The following is a 22,919-nucleotide window of genomic DNA, read 5'->3' as shown; positions in this document are numbered from 1 at the left end:
AATACTATGGCTAGAAGACTAATAAAAGGAAGTCACAGGTTTAATGGGCATACGTCCATTATACCTAAATATTAGACTTGAAAAAGTCACGAAAACAAAATGTAAAGAGAAACATCAAATTTTCAAAATATTTACAACAAATACAACAAAGGGTTATGTCTTTAACTTAGAATTTTTACAAGTTAATAAGAATGAAGACAAAAACTCTTGATTCCGTGACGTTCCTCATAAAAGAAACACAGGTAAGCATTAAGATTTTGAAAAGAGACTTCACTTTGGGAGGCCAAGGCGGGCGGGTCACGAGGTCAGGAGATTGAGACCATCCTGGCTAACACGGTGAAACCCCGTCTATACTAAAAAAAACAAAAAATTAGCCGGGCGTGGTGGCGGACGCCTGTAGTCCCAGCTACTCGGGAGGCTGAGGCAGGAGAATGGCGTGAACCCGGGAGGTAGATCTTGCAGTAAGCCGAGATCGTGCCACTGCACTCCAGCCTGGGTGACAGAGCGACACTCCATTTCAAAAAAAGAAAAAAAAAAGAGACTTAAATTCTTTTAATCGGCATCCATCAATTTTTCAAAATTAACAAGTTCAATCAATCTTAGATTCAGCAAGTGTTTGGGGAAATAGGCACTCCCACATAAAATATTGTTAGGAGTGTCTTTCTCTCTCAGTAAGGATCGGAGTTGAAACTATTGCACTCTGAGAAATTTATCCAAAAGAAAGGGCTAGAAATATACAAAATGACATTTCCTTATTCAATGGAGCCTTTCGTTCAAATTGAAAAAATAACTATTAACAGTTAAAATGTGAGAGGATTTGTAGCATAGTTAAAAGAATATGAGCTTTGGAATCAGGACCCAGCCATACTGAATACTGAGATATTGGACAGTGTCTCAACTTCCTTATGTCTTAGTATCTCCTGTGACATAAAAAAGATCCTAATAGTAGACATCACATAAGGCTCCCCAAGAGTTAAACTACTTAATGTATGTAAAATGCTTTTTCCATTGCTGTAACATAACAGATGCACAAATAGTTGTGTGCGTACACACACGATATACCGATTCAATGGAATATTATGTAGCTCTTTAAACAAATGACACAAATCATGCTTTGACATGTAAAATGTTCATGATGTATTGATAAGTAAAAATCAATGAGGTCCACTACATACTATATTACATTTCATATTTATATCATATGCCCAGCTATATATTATATACTATATCATAAAAAATACTTATCAAACTATTGGCAACGATTATTTCAGGGTAAGCAGGGAGGTAGTATGTCAAGGAAAAGGAATAGAAAAAAAGAGGAGAATTTCCTTTTCTACTTTATACATTTTATAACGTTTAAATATTTTGCAACAAATGTGTATTGCTTTTATAAAATAGCTACAACAAAAATCCCTATTGTAAAAAATGATTAAAGCCAAAGAAGGCTATTTGATGTATTTTCATATCACTGTGAAGCTTCCCCTGTGAATTCAGGCAGGACACGTTATTGATGTTGTTCAACTTCTACATTTCAGATTTAAAAAAAAAAAATGTTTTACAGTGTTTACCCCTGTACTCGAAGTTAGGTATGCCTGGGTTTCATAGATCCCCACCTATCAATCTTTTTTTAAAAGAAAATTGTCAGTAATTTATTTTTCAATCCTGAGAGCCAAATTCCCCATGACTTAATTAATACTATTACAGGATTAGAATAAGATTTCATAATGAACTCAGAGGATGCCATTTAAAAATCATTTTTTAAAAACTCTTCTGGATTTGGAAATGAAATGCTGATTTGAGACACAAAAACCAAGCTAATCTCAAAGTTAGAGGTTAATCCTAGGATTTTGCATTTTAATAGTTTTGTATATAATTTCACCATTTGAAAGGGAAGATTTAAATACTGTTTCCAGGTTTGTTTAAATAATTTCTCACTGCAACAATTCATTGAAATTTAATTACAACCTAGATGGTGATTCTCCTGCCAGGCTTTGAAAACTAGTATAGACTCATCCAATGTTCATTTTAAACTAGTGTGTAACTCCAAGAGTGTCTGCACCAATGATGAGGGTGGGGAAAGACGCCAGATTGCATGAAGAAAGACACCTGGTCATTTTGTTACACCAAAAAGAGTAGCTCTAGGAAAACATCTTGTGGGGAGAATTTTCTAGCTGAAAAGAAAGAGGAACATTAATTTATTCTGGAGCTAGACCATTTCTGGAGTTCAGGAAGTCAGAAACCTGGTATTTTCACAAATTTTTTTTAACAAAAAAAGTTTTAATGCAGTGAAACCTCTTATATGGATGTATTTGGAATAGAGCATGATTCAAAGCAAACACTATACTGGAAATATACCCTTGAAATATTTTTGAATAAAAAATTGCTATTTCATATCTGAGGAAATGGCCTATTGTACACTACTAAACAAAATAAATAATCTGAAGCCACTAAACTAATGTTTTTTAGAACTCCCGTAACTACAGGATTTAATAAGAATTTACTAAACTTCCTTTAATTTATTCTCTATATTCTAAATATGATGCAAACACTTGATCAAAATACTATATATATTAGCCCCTTGCAGAGAGTTGAAATGTATACAGAATCTTCTCGAGTGTGTGTCAGTATCTCTCCGATCCTAACCACCACGAACTCACATTTGGACTTCTGCAATGTCTTCTTCAATACTTACTTCCCATGGTTTATTCTCAAAATGAATCCTTTAAAATGTAAATCACATCGTGATACTCTCCTGCACAAAATCTCACAATGACTCCTCCTTCTCAATCACACTTAGAATAAATCCAAAGACCACAGATGGCCTGTATAATCTGGCCTGTCTAGCACTCTCTTCTTCCTTTGCAAATCTTTGGAGGCACTGCTGTGCATCATGGAACTCAAACACACCACGATACTCTTTTATACATGGAAAAGTCAACCCATAGGTATCTCTAGTGCTTACTCTCCTCTTCATTTAGTTATTTGCTCAAATGTCATCACAAGAAAGAGGCCTCTTCAGACTACTCTGTAAAAATGAGGCCCACTATCATTCTTATCTTGGTGTTATGTCTGATTGTTTATTATATAATTGCTTTAGAGGTTGTTTTTTTTTTTTTTTGCTATTTTTGTCTCTCACTATAAGGATATAAGCTCTGTAAAGTGTCACTTTTGACTGTTTACAACACCAGACACATACTAGGTGCCTGATAAATAGCTGTTGAATAAATTAATAAAGATTTGAAAAAAAAAACCTCAATGTTATTTTCCAGAGTGTGTGATCTTATATCTTTAACATCTTTTCAAGCCCTTTCATCCAATGTGATCAATCCATTTTTTTAACTCTTCCATATTCTTAAATAATGAAGCTCAATGCTAGCCATTGGAAGGTTATGAGTAGTAGCATATGTAAGTTTAAATATGTTTAATGGGATAATATTTGATAGATTATCTGATAAATTTTCCTTTTCATGTAATTCTCATTAACCCATAAACATTTTATCTATATAGGAAGCAGCAGTATGTCCAAGGGTTATATCCCATGGAAAGAAAAATGTAGTAAGATATTAGAAGTTCATTTTAATGTTTATGTTTAATATGTAACAGTTGAAACTCATCGTAGCAGAAATCAATTAGAGAAAAGACTATTTTAGTCTTGGGATCCTGGTTCTCATGTGCCAGAACTCTGTGGCCCTGAAGAACTGAGACATGTCATAATAATGATATCTTTTCAAATCATCTGGGTGTATGCAGGATGATATAAGAGCAAATATCTCCAACCCCATAGGAATTAGAGCCTCTGGTGAGATAAGGGAGAAGGGAGGAGAGAGAGAAAGGAAGAGGTTTAGAGTGAATCCAACATAAACTCCGATGATTGGAACAAAAAGGGAGCTTTCTCCCTGTCCCAACCATGGGCGAGCATTAGGGTGAGGATGGAAAGGAAAACTATATACCCTAGAAATAAGGTTATGTATCCTGAAATGTAAGATGCTTATGACTTTAATTTTCCAGAGGAAGTCCTGGTGGGTGGCATATATTTTTGAAAAATCCCACCCCAAAGAATAAAGTAGGCTCACAGAGGTCCCACATGATGTAGTGTGGTACAGAAGGCAGGAAACAAACACAGGTTTGTTTATATGACTGAGCGGTACAAAATATGCCATATGGACTTTGAGAAGTGATCTGTTTTCATTTTGGTGAATAGTAGATATTAGTTTTAATAGTCAAATTTATTGATATTTTCTGTTACGGTTAGTTCTTTTTGAACTTTATTTAAAAAATCATTTTCTAATCCAAGGCCCTAGGGCATTTTCTGTATTATTTTTCTGGAAGTACTGTTGTTTTCCTTTGCATATTAAGATCTACAATGTAACTGAAATTTACTTTTTTGAATGGTACAAGATAGTAGTCTAATTTAATCTTTTTCACATAGGTTTCTAACTGTTCCAGTATCATTTATTATATTAATTTAAGAGAACTGAAATGCTTAAAATATTCAGTATTTTGTCAAGGGAAGAGACTACCCTTGAAATATATATGAAACAAGAGTGAATATAATGCATTATCCACTATTTAAAGAAGTCTGCTTGCAGGAACCAGAGCTCTGAACAAAGCAAGGACTTAATCTTATATAAGACTTTGAGTAAGTATAGAGGTAAGTGACTGGCTGAATTTCAGCACTTCGACCAAATCTGATCTGTTATTGATTACCTTATTTCAGCCATGAGAATTTTGAAGGAGAACCACTGCATGGAATTTAGGAACAGATTTTTGTTTTGGCCCTGAGGATAAGTCTTTATTGTTTGTACCAGTTGGATATAGAAATTTTTTATACTTACTTCCAAAGCTATGGTTTTATAGCTACCTCCTACCATAGGTTTTCTATTTGTACTATTTGATCTAAGTTTCCCTTTCCCCTCTCCCTTAGATTATATTTGATTGGCTGAGAAATTTTATTATTCCCTTTATCACCTTTGTTAGTTCAGAAGATATATATACATATAAATATGTGTGTGTACATGCACACATATCTTATGCACATGCGTACGTATATATATTTATGCATATACATACTGTTCTTTTAGTGGTTACTCTGAGTTTACAAAATGCTTCTTTAAATGATCAATTCTAATGTTATATAGCAAAAAGCTTACAATATTTTAACTACGTTTACCTTATTTGTCTTAGAGATTTGTAGCTACGTGTCTTAAATCTATATGTATATTTTACATGCTATCATATGCTATTACTAGTCTATAATACAATTAATATTCAGTCTAATTTAATCACATAGTAACCAGTCTCATGAAGCTTTATAACCTGCCAAACCTTTGACTTTCCTTTTGTGATAAGGACATCTTATTTAGTGTGAACTTAGTGATGATAAATTCTTGTGTTATGTTTTGTTTTGATCTGAAAATGTCTTGATTACATCATCATTATTGATGCATCTTTTTGTCTAAGTATAACATCTAGGTTGAATTTTCTTTAAGAAATTCAAAGGTAACACCCCAGTGTGTGTGTGTGTATGTGTGTGTGTGCGTGTGTGTGTGTGTGTGTGTGTGTGTGAGAGAGAGAGAGAGAGAGAATGTGTGTGTGTTTGCTTGGTTTTTGGCTTTTTTACATGTTTCTATCAAGAAGTCAAAAATCAGTCTAATTTTGCTTCACTTTAGTGTAATCTCTCAATTCTCTCACTAAATTTAACATATTTTATCTTTCCTTGAATTTTCTGCAGTTTAGTTCTAAAGGGTTCAAAAGTAGATTTCTTTGTACTTTTCTTATTTGGGTTCATAAAGCTCCTTGAATCTCTGGCTTAATGCATTCTTTTTGAAAACATAGTCATTATTAAAATATCCCTTCTGTTCCATTCTCATTTCTTTTCTTCTGAAACTTATTTACACCAAATTAAAATTTATCACTGCATCTTTTGTCATCTCCTCTCTGTTTTTGTATTTTTCATTTTTTGTCTCTGTTTTTCATTCTGGATGTGTTTTTCTTACAGATGTATCATTTCACTAATTCTATGTTCATTTGTCCTCAACCCATTTTAAAACATACCCACCGAAACCTAGTTACTGATAAATTTTTTAGTATCTTACATATCTTACTGTATTGTGCTAAATATCTTTTGCACTTTTTCAATTCTGCCTTCTTTTTAAAAATGGTTTCCACTGAAATTCCCTCTTTTCTTTTCTCTCCTTGAACATGTAAATATATTTATATTAGAATCCTTCTCATAAAAAATTTCTTAATCCTCTAAAGTCTTTTTCTATTTTCTATTGTTTCTCGTGATTTTTATTCATATTGTGTCACAGCGTTGTGTGTTTAGTTATTCTTTATTGCATGCCAGACATTGTATATGAAAAATTGCTTTTATAAATAATTTCAGGTTTAGAAAGGTGGTATATCTTTCCAGACAGAATATTTATTTGTTTTTGCCAGGTTCCTGGGAATACCAGAAATCTGAGGTCACTGTAATTCAATGTCAAGGTTAGATGATTCATTCCCTGTGATGGCTATTCTATTTCTCTATCATCCTAATCCCTAGGAAGCAGAACTTTAGTGTTTCAAATGAAATAGTGGAGAGTTTATCAGACCCTTCCTATCATTGAGAAGCTCAAGACTTCAGCTTTTGTTCAGTTACCCCTACGAAACTGTCACATATTTGTTTGGCTTATTGATCACTCATTTGGAAACTGAAAAATGTCCCTAGAGGAAATGTATCTCTAGAGTCCAGGCTCACCACCATCTGTTTTGCTATTCTCTCTGGTTTTGGTCAAGGACTTCTCTACTACCAACTTTCTAATACTTCAAGCTAACAATTTGTTTGTTAGTATACTTGTCTAGCTTACCTATTTGTACTACATATTCAAAATTACCCAGTTTTCCATTACTAAAAATAAAAGGTGCTAGTTTTAAATGAGACAAACATAGAAGCAGATGTCAGAGATCCAGATTAGTGAGATGTGACTAAGGATCCCAATTAATGTACATGTCAGTTGATACCAAGTTCAAGTTCATCTGATAAGCAGTAAAAACTAGTTCCTCAATATTCCCTGAACAATATCTTGATACACTATAAATCCTCAAGGGAAAAGAAATGAGGGAGAGATATCTTTCAAGTGATATAAATCTCTATTATCTAAGTTTATATGAAGTGATTAATATTATTGGGATGGGACTACTATTGCAGGATATCATTTAAAAAGAAAATAAAATTAGTCATTTAGGGCACTAGCAAACATATCTGGGCCCTAATCTATGCCTATAATATAGCCATCTCTATCAAACATTAGGTACGACCTCTGTTGTTACCCAGAATTGACCATGATGTTCATAAAATGTTTAATTTCTTTCCCGATGATATTCTAACAAGCTTAACTCTGTATAAAGGTAGAAAATGTATTACAAGTCCTTAACATAATAAAGTTTGCAATAATTACAAGCTCTAGTTATTGAATGTTCTACATGTTAAGGACTGTACTAAGATGTTTTAGTTTCAAACCTAGGTTGCGTAGGTTCAAATCCTAGCTCTGCCTCTTACAACTTTTGTGACCCTATTAAAGTTACTTAATCTCTGGATAGCTCAGTTTCCTTACTTGTAAAATTGGAATAATAATAACACTTACTTCAAAACATTGATTTAACAACTCGTAGTTATAAATTATTCAATAAATGTCAGCTATTGTTAGCTCTAAAACTAAAATAAATCTTCTAGATTGATATTATTATTTTCATTTTTAAGGAAATAGACTGAAGGATGATAAGTGACTTGTCCAAAGTTACAAAATAAGCAGCAAAACCTAGAAATAAGCCTGCGTTTGTCAGGTTCTGACAAATGTAGTATATTTACTTCTTTACAATAATCCTGTTTCTATCTCACCATATGGCCTGGTTTTTTTATTTGACTGAGAGAAAGACCGTAAGTACCATTGAATATACCAAATTCCTTCCCTCAACACCCAAATCTCTATATAATTTTATCCTTTCCCTTGTCTCTTTATTTTGTTGACTAAATCATGTGTCTTATTTTTTACTTTTCTTCTCCATTGGATTCTTATGTTTTTGAGATGGAGTTTCGCTTTTATTGCCCAGGCTGGAGTGCAATGGTGTGATCTCAGCTCACTGCAATCTCTGCCTCCCAGGTTCAAGCAATTCCCCACGTCAGCCTCCCGAGTAGCTGCGATTACCGGCATGCGCCACCACACCCAGCTAATTTTGTATTTTTAGTAGAGACGGGGTTTTTCCACGTTGGGAAGGCTGGTCTTGAACTCCCGACCTCAAGTGATCCGCCTGCCTCTGCCTCCCAAAGTGCTAGGATTACAGGAGTAAGCCACCACACCCGGGCCTCCATTGGATTCTTCTTACCCATAAAAATATTTGTCTTCTTCATTCCAAAACAATAAAATATACATAAACTCTCATTTCTTTACGAAGCTCTCCTGTTCTCTCCCTTTCATATCCAGCCTTTGAAAAATTTAATATTATTCATTGCCCCAAAGCACCTATCCACTAGTAACTCCTTTTTGATTTAGCCTCCATTACTGCTATTGAATGGAAACTGCTCTCTAAGACTGAATTTCCAAGTCAGCTGTTGCTGCTCCATCATCTACCTTTGACCTTCCTGCAAGGGTTTGTTGTTCTCCTTTTGCTTTTGAGATGGAGTTTCACTCTTCTTACCCGGGCTGGAGTGCAACAGTGTGATCTCAGCTCACTGCAACCTCCGCCTCCCGGGTTCAAGCGATTTTCTTGCCTCAGACTCCCAAGTATCTGGGATTACAGGCGCCCACCACCACGCCCAGCTAATTTTTGTATTTTTAGTAGAGACGGGTTTTCACCATGTTGGCCAAGCTGGTCTCGCACTCCTGACCTCAGGTGATCTGCCTGCCTTGGTCTCTCAAAGTGCTGGGATGACAGGTGTGAAACACCGTGCCCAGCCCCTGCAAGGTTTTATAGTTAATAAACGCTCTTGACCATTCCATTAGTTTTTGTGGCCCTGAAGAATCCAAGATCTCCACCTATGTCAATTATTTATCAATGATTACTTTTAAAAATCTAACAGTTCCCCGTACTCTAACTTCTCCCATCTCTCTGAACTGAGCATTTTTTCTCTCTGAATTTGTGGTCATATCCACTTATAAACCTTGACCATAAATTATGTAGATGTTTCTAAAACCTTACCTTTGGGCCTACAGTTCTACCCAAATCTAGGCACATTTGAACTTCTTAGAGAATTTCTCAGTTGTATGTGTCTCCAACCTCAATATAAATCACTTCAGTCTACAAACTGTGATTAAGAAGTGGGAGTAGAATCTAGGCTTTTTCCAACAACCTTCATTCTCACTTGTCCGGCTTTCTTCTACTCTGTTAGTGTACTGAAATTGAGAAACATTTTGCCTAGACCTGAAGTAAAAGTGCGTTATCTAAATGAGAATGCTTTAAAGACCATAAGGATACTTCATTATTTTTAATTTATGTTTGTAAATTTGCCAAGTTTGAAGACACTTCCTCTTTCTATTCTGACATCAGCATAGAAGAAAAAAATAGCTATTATATATATATTATTCTATATCATGATTTTCCATGACTTATCCATTATCAAGTTTACCTTTATTTTCCCCCTACCTCCACCATGGTATGCTGTTAGATATTTAACAAGCTCTCCATGGATAGGGTGAGGCAGGAGGCCCTGACTTGTGGAATATTCCTATTTCTGTGGTCTACATACCCCTCCAAAGCCTATTGAAAGCAAACAATGTAACATCACTAACCACAGACTTGGAAATGAAGACAAGCAGCTTTTGTGAGCCAACACAAGTCAGCTCCTGTACAGCACTGACTCCCAGGAAGCAAGTTCTATGCCTTCCTATTTTCCTTTTAGGTATTTGTTTCCAAGAAATTAGGAAATTTCATAGCAACAGTTGAATTGTTATAATTCCCTATAACAATAAAAATCTCCCCAAATAATAATATCATTGTTTGGGGAAGGAAACAATGGGGTTCTTGATCATTAATTAGTTATTCAGAAATATTTCTTAAATGTTTATTATGGGGTAGGTAAAGTAGAAACACATGTAAGAAAGACAGACAAGATGCTGCTCCAAAGAGCTTATATTCTTGTTGGGGGACAACAAACAAACGACAGCAACAAAAATAAACAATATAGTTTCTCATATAAAATTGGCTATGTATAAAATAGAGTGGTGAAATTGGGGTGTAGAAGTAGTTAATATCTAATAAAATCATGCTTTTCCTTCTATTTTCTCAACTCTAAAAGTTTTATTTAGTAACAACACAGTGCCCTAACTTACTATGTGTAATTAGGGAAACAACTCATTTTACTTGTTCTATAAAGTTTGATGCCATTTTCAGAACTTTCAGAATTCAACTGACCAAAATATAAATGGTTGAATTTAGTGGCATACATAGAGTAAACATGTATATTCTTCCTCTTCCTCCTTTTGCAGTGCCAGAGGGAAAGGATGTTGTTAGAGGCATAAGATCATTGACCTTTAATATTGAAAGGAAATGAAGATATGAAAAGTCATTTATTTTATGGCTTGAGTGCACCTTAGGCTCTTTTTTGCCTTTTACAGATTATTTCTAAAAATATTTGCAGAAATATCCATTATGCCATTGACAAGACTTGAATTAGTAATAGAATCATAATTTATCATTGAACAACATTAAGCAATTATGTTGAAACAACTGCCAATTAGTTTCCACATAATATCATCCCAGATAAATGATTACAGTCTTTAATTCTTGATGTAATTACTATAAACAAATAGTGAAATATTTACTTATCCAAATGATAAGCATTCATACATATATTAGAAATCAAAGGCATGGGTTATGTTTGTATTCTGTATTTTGCAGATATTTTTCATTATAGCTTAAGGGGAGTATGACAATATTTTCTTATTTAGATAGCTACATTTTGCACAGCTCTCCTTCAACTTCAAGATCTTTTTCAGGCAACTGGCTTGGGAATGTCAGTGCATGCATTATTAATTTTATTACCACATTATTCATTTATATAGCATCGTTCTACCTCAAGGATCTCAAGGTGATTTACAAACATTAATTGCCAAATACTCATAGTGTTCCTTTGATATATGTGTACCTGAAGTTGTGCTAATTAAAAATTATAATCAAATCCCTATAATACATGCACACACACTAACACACATACAAAAACTTATTTATAGCATAACTCCTTTTAAGATCTGGAAATTTACCTGTTTGGGAGTAAATAACAGGAAAACAATGGCAGCAAGATGTCTGGCCAGCATGGCAGTGGGGTCCATGAGAATCTGGTCCTTCTCTTTGAAGTGATTCACCTCTGTGGAAAAACAAAAATGAGAGATTATGAAGGTAAAGCTAGGAAAATGTTGATAATACCAATACAATTCTAACTTCAGGCCTTCTGGGATGGAAGGAAAATTCCATCTCATTCATTACTGAAATTCCTTCTCTGTTCTAGTATTGAATTCCAATCTCAAAGGCTCACGTGACATTCAAAGGATGAATTTCTAATATCTGGTCTCTCTGGGATAGGCTTGGCTTCCTCGCTGGTGTTGGTTCACTGCAGTCAAGTGACCTTCTGCTTCTACATCATTCCCCTAGCACAATGCCTACTTAAACTACTACTAAGTCAGTATCTCCAAGTTCTGGCCACTTCACTGGAGTTCTTCCATAAGGAATATCAAAAAAGCTAATATTTGATTTTAGAAAAAAAAAAGAAGTAAATCTGATGAACCTCTAGTGATATGTGATCACGACTTTAAAAAACAGAGTAGAACCTAATTTGGTCCTACTCTATCAAGAATTAAAAAAACATAATCTATAGATCAGACATTTAAAAAGGTAACAGGATAATATAAACAATTTTCTTGATAACTAAACTTTTGGATGAAATAAATCTTAGAAAATATAATTTATAAAACAAAACAAAAAAATGGAAAAACCTATATATTCCTTCAACTATTAAAGACACTGATTTGATAATTCCAGGGAAGTGAAATTAGTGAAGCAGTTCACCTGCTTCTGAGTTATTGCTTACTAAATATATCATTCATTTCCCTGATTTTTTCTGTTTTGTAAATAAGAAAGTTGAACTATATTATTGTTTTGCAAATAGAACTCTACACTAATCATTTTCACTAGCAAATTCTGCGAAACATGTAAGGAAGAAACAGCACCAATGCTACGTACAGTTTTCCAAAACTAGAAAAAGTGGGTACAGTCTTCAACTTTTTATGAGGACATCGTAATCTTGATAACAAAACACAAAAAGAACAGTACGAGAAAAATCATAGGTCCAGTTCACTCAAGAACATAAATGCAAACAAACAAAATAATAACTATATTAAAACTATTTCAATAAGAATTATATCATAAATAAGATTTATTTCAGATATGAAATGTTGATTGAAAATTAGACAATCATTGTACTCTACCCTTTTAACAGAGTAAAGAAGAAGACTCATGTGCTTATCTCAATAGACAAAGAAAAAGTTTAATGAAATTTACCATCAATCTATGATTCAAAAAGAACATCCTGGTAAACTAAGAATGGAAGGGACATTTTGGTTAATGACATACTTTCTCTGAGATCAGAAACAAGATGAATATACATGATGGAATACTATGTAGCCATAAAAAAGAATGAGAACATGTTCTTTGCAGAGACACGGATGGATCTGGGGGCCATTATCATTAGCAAACTAACACAGAAACAGAAAACCAAATACCACATGTATAGCTCGCTTATAAGTAGGAGCTAAATGACGAGAACACATGGACACATAGAGGGGAATAACACATACTGCGGCCTATTGGAGGGTGGAGGGTGGGAGGAGGGAGAGGATCAGGAAAAATAACTAATGGGTACTAGGCTTAATACCTGGGTGACGAAATAATCTGTACAACAAACCCCCATGACACATGTTCACCTATGTAACAAACCTGCACATGTACCCCTGAACTCAAAAGTTGTTGTTTTTTTTAAATAAACAAGATATGGATATTTATTCTCACCACTTGAATTCAATACTTTTTTAAAAAGCTAGGCTGGGCATGGTGACTCACCCCTGTAATTCCAACACTTTGGGAGGCCAAGACAGGTGAACTGCTTGAGCTCAGGAGTTCAAGACCAGCGTGGGCAACATGGCAAGACTCCATCTCTACCAAAAATACAAAAACATTAGCCGGGCATGGTGGTATGCACCTGTGGTTTCAGCTACTAGAGAGGCTGAGGTGGGAGAATCGCTTGAGCCTGGGGGAATGGAAGTTGCAGTGAGCTGAGATAGCACCACTGCACTCCAGCCTGGGTGACAGAGCAAGACCCTATCTCAAAAACACACACAAAAAATAAATAAATAGATAAATACATAAATAAAATAAAAAATAAAAAGCTAGACACTAATAAACACATGCACGTGCACGCACACACATACCAAAAGTCAGGATAGTAGTTGCCTTCGGGGAGGTAGAAAGACATAAATTAAAAATCAGTGAGATTGGTCATGTTTACTTTACAACTATGTCTATTTCATGTAACAGCAGTCAGGATAGTTTAATGCCTATGATCATATCAACCAATACATTTTAATGCATTTACAAGATAATCATATAGCAACCCAAGGAACTGAATTTCAGACGGAGATAGAGACAAGGATGAAAAACAAAACAAAACAAAACAAACCTTAACTGACTGGCCGAATTCTAATCAGATGTAGGTGAATTCCGTATGGCAGGTGCCCTGTGGCTAGCACTTTCACCAGTGGGATGCTTTCATGGATTTTTCATTTCCCTCTACCTGTTGGGAAGCCCACTGTGAGAGGGACCTTCTGAAGTCTTGCCATAAATGGTTACCTTTGTTGGTAACCATTTTCCATCAGGAAAATCACAAACCCAAGATAAAGAGCAACCTGACTCCACCAACCCTAGAAGTTCAGCCCCTTCCCAGTTTGCAGCTTCCTTTCTTTCTGGAGCCATGAGAAAGTTACTTGATCTCCATGGGCCTCAGTTTTCTCATCTTTAAAACAGGACTATCAATTGTTCCTAACTCAGAGGCTACTGTGAGGGCAACAATTAACGTGTGTAAAGCATTTAGAATATCGCTTGGTATGTAATAAGTGCTCAGTAGGTGTTAGCTATTCTGATGATAATCATTAACACCTACGACAAAAATGGACTTACCCTTTGGTCCCTAAACAACAATTATATCAGATTATAATCAATATATTGGGTTATTTGTTCTTGTGTGGGAGGCCAAGTCGAATGTCAGGCAATCCAGGTGGAATCAAGCCAAGCACAGGCCGTTCCCTTCTCATTTCTTGCTTCCCCATCACGAAGCCCAAGCGTGAAGGCCTTACCTGCTGATTTTCCATCTACGCCCTCCCATGGGAGGTGAAGAGCTACCACAACGAAAGTTCTCTCTCCCTCTCTTTCCACCACTCACATGTTCTCATTTACACAGACATATACATTTCTGTAATATTTGCAAGGCAAAATTTACAGACACAACCTGTTCAAGTATATCAAGAAAAGAAAATCTCCCCACACATTTGTCCAACCATTTTAGAGCCACAGTTATGCCTTGGTCATCCATGGGATTTATTTTACCAATTTTGATTTAGAATCTCACTCTAAAGAGCTACATTTTTAAACTATGTTTTCTTATGGAAAACTGAGAAGTACCTCCATCTCTGCATTATAAGATGAACCCTAAAGGATATATTCAGATGTTAGATTTTTTCCGTCAAAACAAAGAGACTATCTACTCCAAAAGTATATTTGAGTACCAACCCCTTGTCAAGCAAAAAGTGTTTTCAAGCCAGGCGCGGTGGCTCACACCTGTAATTCCAGCACTTTGGGAGGCCGAGGCGGGCGGATCACGAGGTCAGGAGGTGGAGACCATCCTGGCTAACACGGTTGAAACCCTGTCTCTACTAAAAATACAAAAAAATTAGCCAGGTGTAGTTGGCAGGTGCCTGTAGTCCCAGCTACTCAGGAGGCTGAGGCAGGAGAATGGCATGAACCCGGGAGGCGGAGCTTGCAGTGAGCTGAGATGGTGCCACTGCACTCCAGCCTGGGCAACAGAGCAAGATTCCATCTCAAAAAAAAAAAAAAAAAAGTGTTTTCAGCTTAAAAATAGCAATAATTACACACAACAAAACTTCAGCTTGCCCCAAGTCTCAATCAGGACTGTGAAATGAGAAAACATAACAAGATATTATTCAGAATCCCTTTTTGACACTTGCATGATTCCACTTTTCAGATTTTCCCCCAAATCATTAAAGTATGAAAAATAAGCAGAAGAACCTGCGTACCAGTTCTTTGAGATTCTTACTAATTGTGAATCCTTGAGGATATGGACAGGAGTGATTGGCTGAGAAGCCCAGTGTGGTAGCCCCTTATACAGAAAAAAAATGGGAAGCAGGTCACTTATGTTACACTAATGGCCACTGTGCTGCTGGTGTGGGTGGCATCAGGTGTCATCCTGGAGACTTCGGAGAAGAAGGAAGGGTTGAAGATGAACTGTTACATGAAACTAGCATTCCAAAGTAAATGCCCAAATTTGGTGCAAACAGAGAAAAGTGGTAGAGTTACATTCGTCCAGGAGTTTCTCCAGGTACGTTGAATTGTTCAGTAAGCTGGCAGTTGATACCTACATGCTCACTAACCCCTTCAGTAAGTTTCAGAATAATTAGGCGGGGCAGAGCTGTCCTGTGGGCTCTTTGGTTCTAATATAACTTTGCAGGGAACATAAGTCAAGTTAGATATGATGATGTAGGAGAATGGATCCTAATTAAAACACAGTGGTAGTGTGCATGCCTCACTGGTATTCCCTGAAACTTCTTCAAGGTGAATGTGCCAACCCCAGGAAAAACAGAAAATAAAGCTCATTATCTCAGAAATGGGAAAAAGAATTTGCAAAAACCAAAAAGAGCTCCCTTTATCTTTCTTGCTTACACATTCTAGACAGACTCCCAGGGAATATTTACTTCCAAAATGCTTTCTTCTCTTTTTGTATCTTACTGTCACAGCATTCTGTTAATTCCTAGAACTATAAATACTTTTCCAGGTGGAAGGCTTTTACAAATTGATAATTATTCTAACATTGCTGAAGTTTTATAATGAAATTGCAGATAAAAGTATTCATATAAAAATAAATTGTATAAATGATAGAAAACATATAAATGTATAACATGTCTATATACAGATATAATCTCTCTTGTACAGCACATGATAACTGACGTATATCTTGAAGGCTACATTTGGCTCAGGCTGAAGACAAAATCCAGTCAGTAGAAAAGTGTCTTGGAGATACTGCCAAGCCTCATTTGGCGACAATAGTGATGTGTGACCGCATTTAATGAAATATCATATCTTTTCAATTAAAATTTTATATACTGGACGTTTACTTAAATTATACCAAATAATTTTTGAGTCTAGAGCTCACTGAGGCATCAGAGAATGAACTGTGTGCTATATCGAAGCATTCATGTGAACACTTCATTATTTTTCATCATTAAAAAAACACTTTTCCCCCAAATAATAAATATTGAGAGAAATGAGTGTTCTGTAAAACAACATCTATTTTTATTTTAAATGATTTATCCATTTCTGAAGAGCCAAAAGAAATTTAAACTTCATCAAAAGTGTTATTCATGCTTTCCAAACCAGAATTAATAGCCTGTCATTTTACTTATGCCGTTCTTTCATTTCTTTGAATATGGAACAGCGGTTTTCTGATTTGTTTCTTCCAATGTGGGCAGCTGATGGTATACAGTGGTTAGCTGATATTTGTCTGGAAGTCACCATCAGTGCATTGTGGGAAGTTTCAGTCTAGAATCCTTGTCAGTGGTTCTGTCTGAGAATCAGAAAAAGGGCAAAATATATTCAGAACCTTTTTTTTTGGTCACATTTATAAAAGCAGCAGACATGCACATTTATGAAAGACTGATTAAATGCTTCAAGCAATGCTTTTAGATGGAATTGATAGATGCCAGATTGTCATTATGAAACTATCCAGAAGAGGAAAAGCCATTTTTAGATGAAAAGAGTGCTTTCTATTTATTTTTATGTCAGTGCATGTGTACATATGACAAACTAATGGCCCTAGGAATTATCAAATTAGTAGATTTTGCATCTGCTGATTTCTCCATTTCTCAATCTCATAGTTAATTTATTTAACTGCCTCCTCATTAGGAGTTCTTAGCAAATAATATCACCATTTAGTTGGGTAGCATTTTATGCTTGGTAAAATTCTTCAACATCTACGCTTTATTATTTTATCTTAAAAATGCCTTTGGTGCAATTGGGCTGATATTATTTTACCAACAAAGAACATGAAACTCAGAGAGGGTATACGACCTACTTTCAGTGTATACTGCCTTTTTAAAAGCTAGGATTAAATAGAATTCCCTCATTCCTAGTAGGATAATCTTTCCAATAGCCCCCACAAATGATATTTCTTCACGAATTGTGCAACTGATCCTGAAAACAAAAGACAAGAACAATTGTTCATTTTGCAGCCTTCGATATGGAAAACTTGGTGTGGCGACAGCTCCATATAATACAGTAACCATCAAATATATGGATTATTATAAGAAAAAGTGTCAAAAATAACTAACTGGTTGTTAGTAGGCAGTAGCCAGCTGATAGACTAATTGAGATCACATTCACAAACAGGCTTGAAGGAATTCAGGCTGGAAGGCCGCAAATGACCTTTCTCTTTGGCTTCATTATCTGGGACATTTATGAAACTAGCATTGTCCCTCACCCCCATTGCTCCTTTTACTTCCCCTACATGTCATCTGACTCCTTGTCTCCCCCAGCCATCTTCCAGCACCCATACTGATATGGTTTGGCTGTTTCCCCACCCAAATCTCATCTTGAATTGTAGTTCCCACAATACCCACGTGTTGTGGGAGGGACCTGGTGGGAGATGATTGAATCATGGGGGCAGGTCTACCCCATGCTGTTCTTATAATAGTGAATAAGTCTCACCAGATCTGATGGTTTTATAAGGGGAGGTTTCCCTGCACAAGCTCTCTTCTCTTGTTTGCTGCCATGTGAGACTTGCCTTTCACCTTCCACCATGATAGTGAGACTTCCCCAGCCACATGGAACTATGAGTCCATTAAGCTTTTTTCTTTTGTAAATTGCCTACTCTCAGGTATGTCTTTATCGGTAGCATGAAAATGGACTCATACACATACTTATTAAGAACATTGAATAGGGGTAGAGGAGGTGCTTTCCTACTCGGTCATAGAATGTTTTCTCCTTACTAAGAAATAACAAATATCAGCAACAACTTAAACCAGTGCACTTTAATCACAGCAGTGCCTCTTTGACATATATTATCTCATTTGATCATGAGACCTTTGTGAAATAAGCCAAGATAAAAGCCATCTTTGAGAGATAGAGATGACTGAGGTTCGGTGAGGGGAAAGGATCTCCTCAAGGTCCCACAGCTCATGAGAGGCAGGTCAGGAATCATAATTCAAACATTTTGACTCTAAATTCAGCACTCTTTGAACCACATCTGTGAAAGCAGAGAACCCAGAAACTTGCTTTGAACTTTTTTTGTTTTTTTTGTTTTGTTTTGTTTTTGTTTTTTTACTTCTTATGTCATCTTTAAAGAGGTGACTATAAACTGATTGCCCCAGGGGTATTACATAAAGTGGTTCTAGCCTCTCTGGTGGAAACAGAATAATGCCAGAACCCTTTAGACATTTTCTCATTTCTTAACAAAAATGTTGATAAGGCTTTTTCCATTAGGGAAATGCAAGCAACAGGACATATGAGGCAGGAAACAGATTTTGTACTGCCTGAAGCTTATACAACTTGGGCACCCCTTTTTTTAAGAAAAATAATACAAAATTATAAATACAAAATTAGGTATTAAAGCAAATGCTTAATTAGAATGATTCAAGAAATCTCAAATCAATTACAAATGTTAAAAAAAAAAACTGTAAAATCCAGAAAACTAACATGTTATTATTTATTTACTAACCAACACATATCTAAAATACTATTTTCCTACATCGTTAGCTGAATAGCCTTTGATGGCCCCTTCATATGACAAGGATTTTGTCATGTAATTTTCAATAAAGAAAGGAAAAAGATTATTCTGTCTTTTCTCTAGCATGCTTTCTTTCCTCCTCACAAATTTGGAAGCCAAACTTCATAAGGCATGTTTGTATAACTTTTACATATGTTTAATGTAACTCTGGCCTCAATCTCCATGTCAGGATGGTAAGCATAGTGTGTAGGAAGGTTATTATGGGAAGATATTCCTATACCAGGAGAGGTTAAATAGAGGTTACTCAGTGCTCCCTAGAGGATGCAGTCGACAATACCAGCTAGGAAACACCTTTCCAGGAAACCATCTAACAAAAACTGGTAGTGCAGAAGACACACACAATCATGTTGGAAAATGTCCATGCTATCAAACCATAAGAGAAGCAGTAGCTTCTAAGTTTTCATCCTAGCCTGGAAAAGTGTGGCAGAGTTTTTTTCCCACAGGCACAGAGCAAAAAGTAGTCTGTTTCCAGAAGCACTTCTGACTGATCCTCCTTTTCATTCATTCATTCAACACACACACACACACACACACACACACACACACAGAGGGGGCCAGTGTGGGGGAGTGACTTCCATGTGCCAGGCACTAAGCTAAGCACTGGAAAGGTAAGCAGTGTTCCATCTGTACCACCTTAGAGCTCACCTTTGACTGCTTAATAGAGAATGTATATTCTCCAGTGGATATAAGATTTGGGGGTAGAAAAAGTGAATTCCCCAGGAATCACTTTACAATTGTTTTCCCAGTGGTTTTATGGAATTCTTGAATTTTGACTCTAGGTTGAACTAGCTGGAGCACTACTCACTTCTGACCATCACAGGGATTAGTTCCATGTAGACACATTTCATGTGCTGACATTTGGTATCCTACATTCTGTAATACAAATGAAGTCTCTGTAGCAATAATGGCAGTAGCAACATAACATTACAGGAGCAATTTAAGCCACAAAAGAAATATCTCCTCACAAGAACTCCCTATGACAGGGCTGAGCAGAGTTATTCTATTTATTTATTTATTTATTTATTTAGAGATGGAGTATTGCTCTGTTGCCCAGGCTGGAGTGCTGTGGCATGATCTTGGCTCACTGCAACCTCTGCCTCCTAGGTTCAAGCAATTTTCATGTCTCGGCCTCCTCAGTAGCTGGGATTACAGGCATGCACCACCATGCCTGGCTAATTTTTGTATTTTTAGTAGAGACAGGGTTTCGCCATGTTGGCCAGGCTGGTCTCGAACTCCTGACCTCAGATGAGCCGCCCTCCTTGGCCTCTAAAAGTGCTGGGATTACAGGCGTGAGCCACTGCACCCGGCCTCCATTATTTTAAATTCATACCATAACAAAAAATTCTAGATGCTAGAAATCTCTTCAGAATGTAGACAATCGCCCACATGACACGTCATATTTTGGGGCACATTTTCATCACTACTCATTGTGTTTGTCACAAACACTTGATACTATAAACAAGACCTTCATTTTAAGAACTTCATATTCTGACACCTAATTGTCCCCCAAAAGCTATAATCCTTTGCCTGTGAAATCATCATTTATTCCTATGGAAATATGATTATGACTTCAGGTGAAGGAATAAACAGGAGAAACAGTTGAAACTTTTAAAAGCATCATTTTTCATGTAAATCTCTCTAGCAATAAAGTCAGAATTTAGAAAATAGCAAAGGCATGATGAGCTAGTGGAACTGTGACTAAATATACTGCTTCTAAAATTTTCTCAGCACCAGGTGCTTGAACGTACATAGCTTATTTAGGATGTCTGCAAGTGCTACCTCTGTGTGCCTTTTTTTTTTCAACTTTGATTTGGGGTTACTTTTAACATTGCACAGAATTTGTACCTTACTTAATTTTTAAATTTCACTCTTTCTGTAAATATTTTTAACTTTTCTCAACTAATTTTATCCAAACGGGTGAAATTTCTAAAGGACATATTTATGTCCGCAGCTTTCAGGATGAATTCTACAAATTGCCATGTAGGTCACTGACTTTGTAACATTGTATATTTAAAACAGCAAAAAAGAAAAAAAAGTGTTAGTTTAGAACTTTTAATAAACTAATAAAACTATTAGAACTAATAAAAATACACTTATTTACTGAGAGTGTTAGTTACACTGGATTAATTTCTTCAACCTGAATTCTTTTGCCCAAATTCCTTTGTTTACATTATTATTATACTCAATCATATGTTTCTCCTAAGTTCCTGTTGTTGATCGTATTTTATTTTTTTAACTATTGATGTACTCAACTTCTTGATCCTTTCTCTTTTCTGGCTTCACTGACATGTCTCTCTCCTGGCTCTCTTTCTGCATCTCTGATCACTCCTTCTTGGGTCTCTCTCTCAGGCTTCCACACATCATCCAGCACCTAAGTGAGGCAATTCCACAAGCCTCCAATATTGACCCTTTGCTTTTATTTCTCTGATTCATGCCTCTGTGTTTACCCCCAATCTGATGGCATTCAATGCCACCCCTTATCAAAGTCTCCAGATCAAATTCTTCCGACTTCACTTTCTAATCAGCCCATAAGGTTTCTCTTGGTGGACATCCTCCTTGTGGATCACATCACATCACACTCAACAAGCAAGAAAAATGTTTTTCTAAACCTTAGACCCTTTCTTTAGCAGTTTTTGCTGCAAGTGGCTTCAACATTCTTTTTATCTCAACCAGAAACCTTGAAGTTATTTTTAAATTTTCTCTATGCCTCATCCTCTGAATCCGGTGTGTCACTGTATCAAAACATTTCCATATTTAAAATGTCCTCTTTCTCTTTATTCCCACATCATTCTCATAACTGGAGACCTCATCACCATACAGGATAGAGCTCCCAGCTGACCTTGCTCTAATCTCCTTGCCTCAACATTACTCATTCTTCCAAACAAAAATGGATTGATGATCCCCAAACAGCCCATTAAGCATACTAGTCCCTGTTTCAAGAGTATTATATTCTCCATATTTTCCATGTCATACTTCTAAACTAATATCCTTCTCATCTTGTGTATCCAACTTGATTTCCAACTAATTCCCACAATATGGTTTATAATCCAAATGCGTTTTCTAGCAATCTCTCTATTAGTACCTTTGTTCATGCTGCTTCTCTATCCAGAATGGCATCATTATTGTCTCCACCTTTTCAAATGCTATTCCTCCTTCAAAGTCCAGCAAAGTTCCCTGCTTCTACAAAGTTCACACACTCCCATCTCTAATCTATCATAGTGAAGTTCTCAGCCACTTGTGACAATACTAACAAATGACTGAGGCTGCCTGGATGCCTACTTTAGGCCAGGTCTCATGGAGTGGCTGTGCCCTAATGAATTCACCACCATTGTAGCTGTGATAACCACATTTGCACTTTCATAAACTCAAATTCTTCTGAACACCCAGGTATCATCAGGCCCTAGGCAGCAGAAAAGAGAGAAAGAGAGAGAGAAAAAAAGAGTAGGCTGGATTAGTTCTAAGTCAAGCCTAACAACACACAGCCATATGAATTCAAGAAAGTTGTTCAAACTTTCCTAAGTCTTCAGTTCCTCATGGTTAAAATTGAGGTGTTAATATCAACCTTCCCTAACATACTACACTGTTATGGAAATTAAATAAGATAATTTATGTAGAAGAACACTATAAAGCATTATACAGACTTATTTCTAATTCATGATAACAAAATTCATGAGATACTTAGTTTTAAGCCATAAAGTTAATTTAATAATTTATAAAGAGGAATAAATATTTCTGCTGACTGGAGAGATATGTGTGCTCTAGAGGTAAAACTTGGATAAAAGGATCTAAGGAACTGACTAAATAATTATAAGGTTTTGGAAAA

At 35.9% G+C, this 22,919-nt stretch overlaps 1 long non-coding RNA gene across 1 annotated transcript in view; it reads right to left on the bottom strand.

Annotated features, from left to right (window-relative positions):
- Positions 1-237: 237 nt before the first annotated feature.
- Positions 238-22,919, bottom strand: part of LINC01317 (long intergenic non-protein coding RNA 1317) — a 590,861-nt gene continuing 568,179 nt past the window's right edge. The window contains exons 5-7 of the long non-coding RNA NR_126403.1: positions 11,238-11,341; positions 8,718-8,723; positions 238-510 (exon numbers count right to left, since the gene is read on the bottom strand). This is a non-coding gene — a long non-coding RNA (long intergenic non-protein coding RNA 1317). The remainder of the gene's footprint in view (positions 511-8,717; positions 8,724-11,237; positions 11,342-22,919) is intronic.

The sequence above is a fragment of the Homo sapiens genome, chromosome 2 (genome assembly GCF_000001405.40).
Source record: "Homo sapiens chromosome 2, GRCh38.p14 Primary Assembly".
NCBI classification, from domain to species: Eukaryota; Metazoa; Chordata; class Mammalia; order Primates; family Hominidae; genus Homo; species Homo sapiens.
The sequence above is the reverse complement of the archived record's forward strand: the minus strand, read 5'-3'. Positions and strand labels throughout refer to the sequence as shown.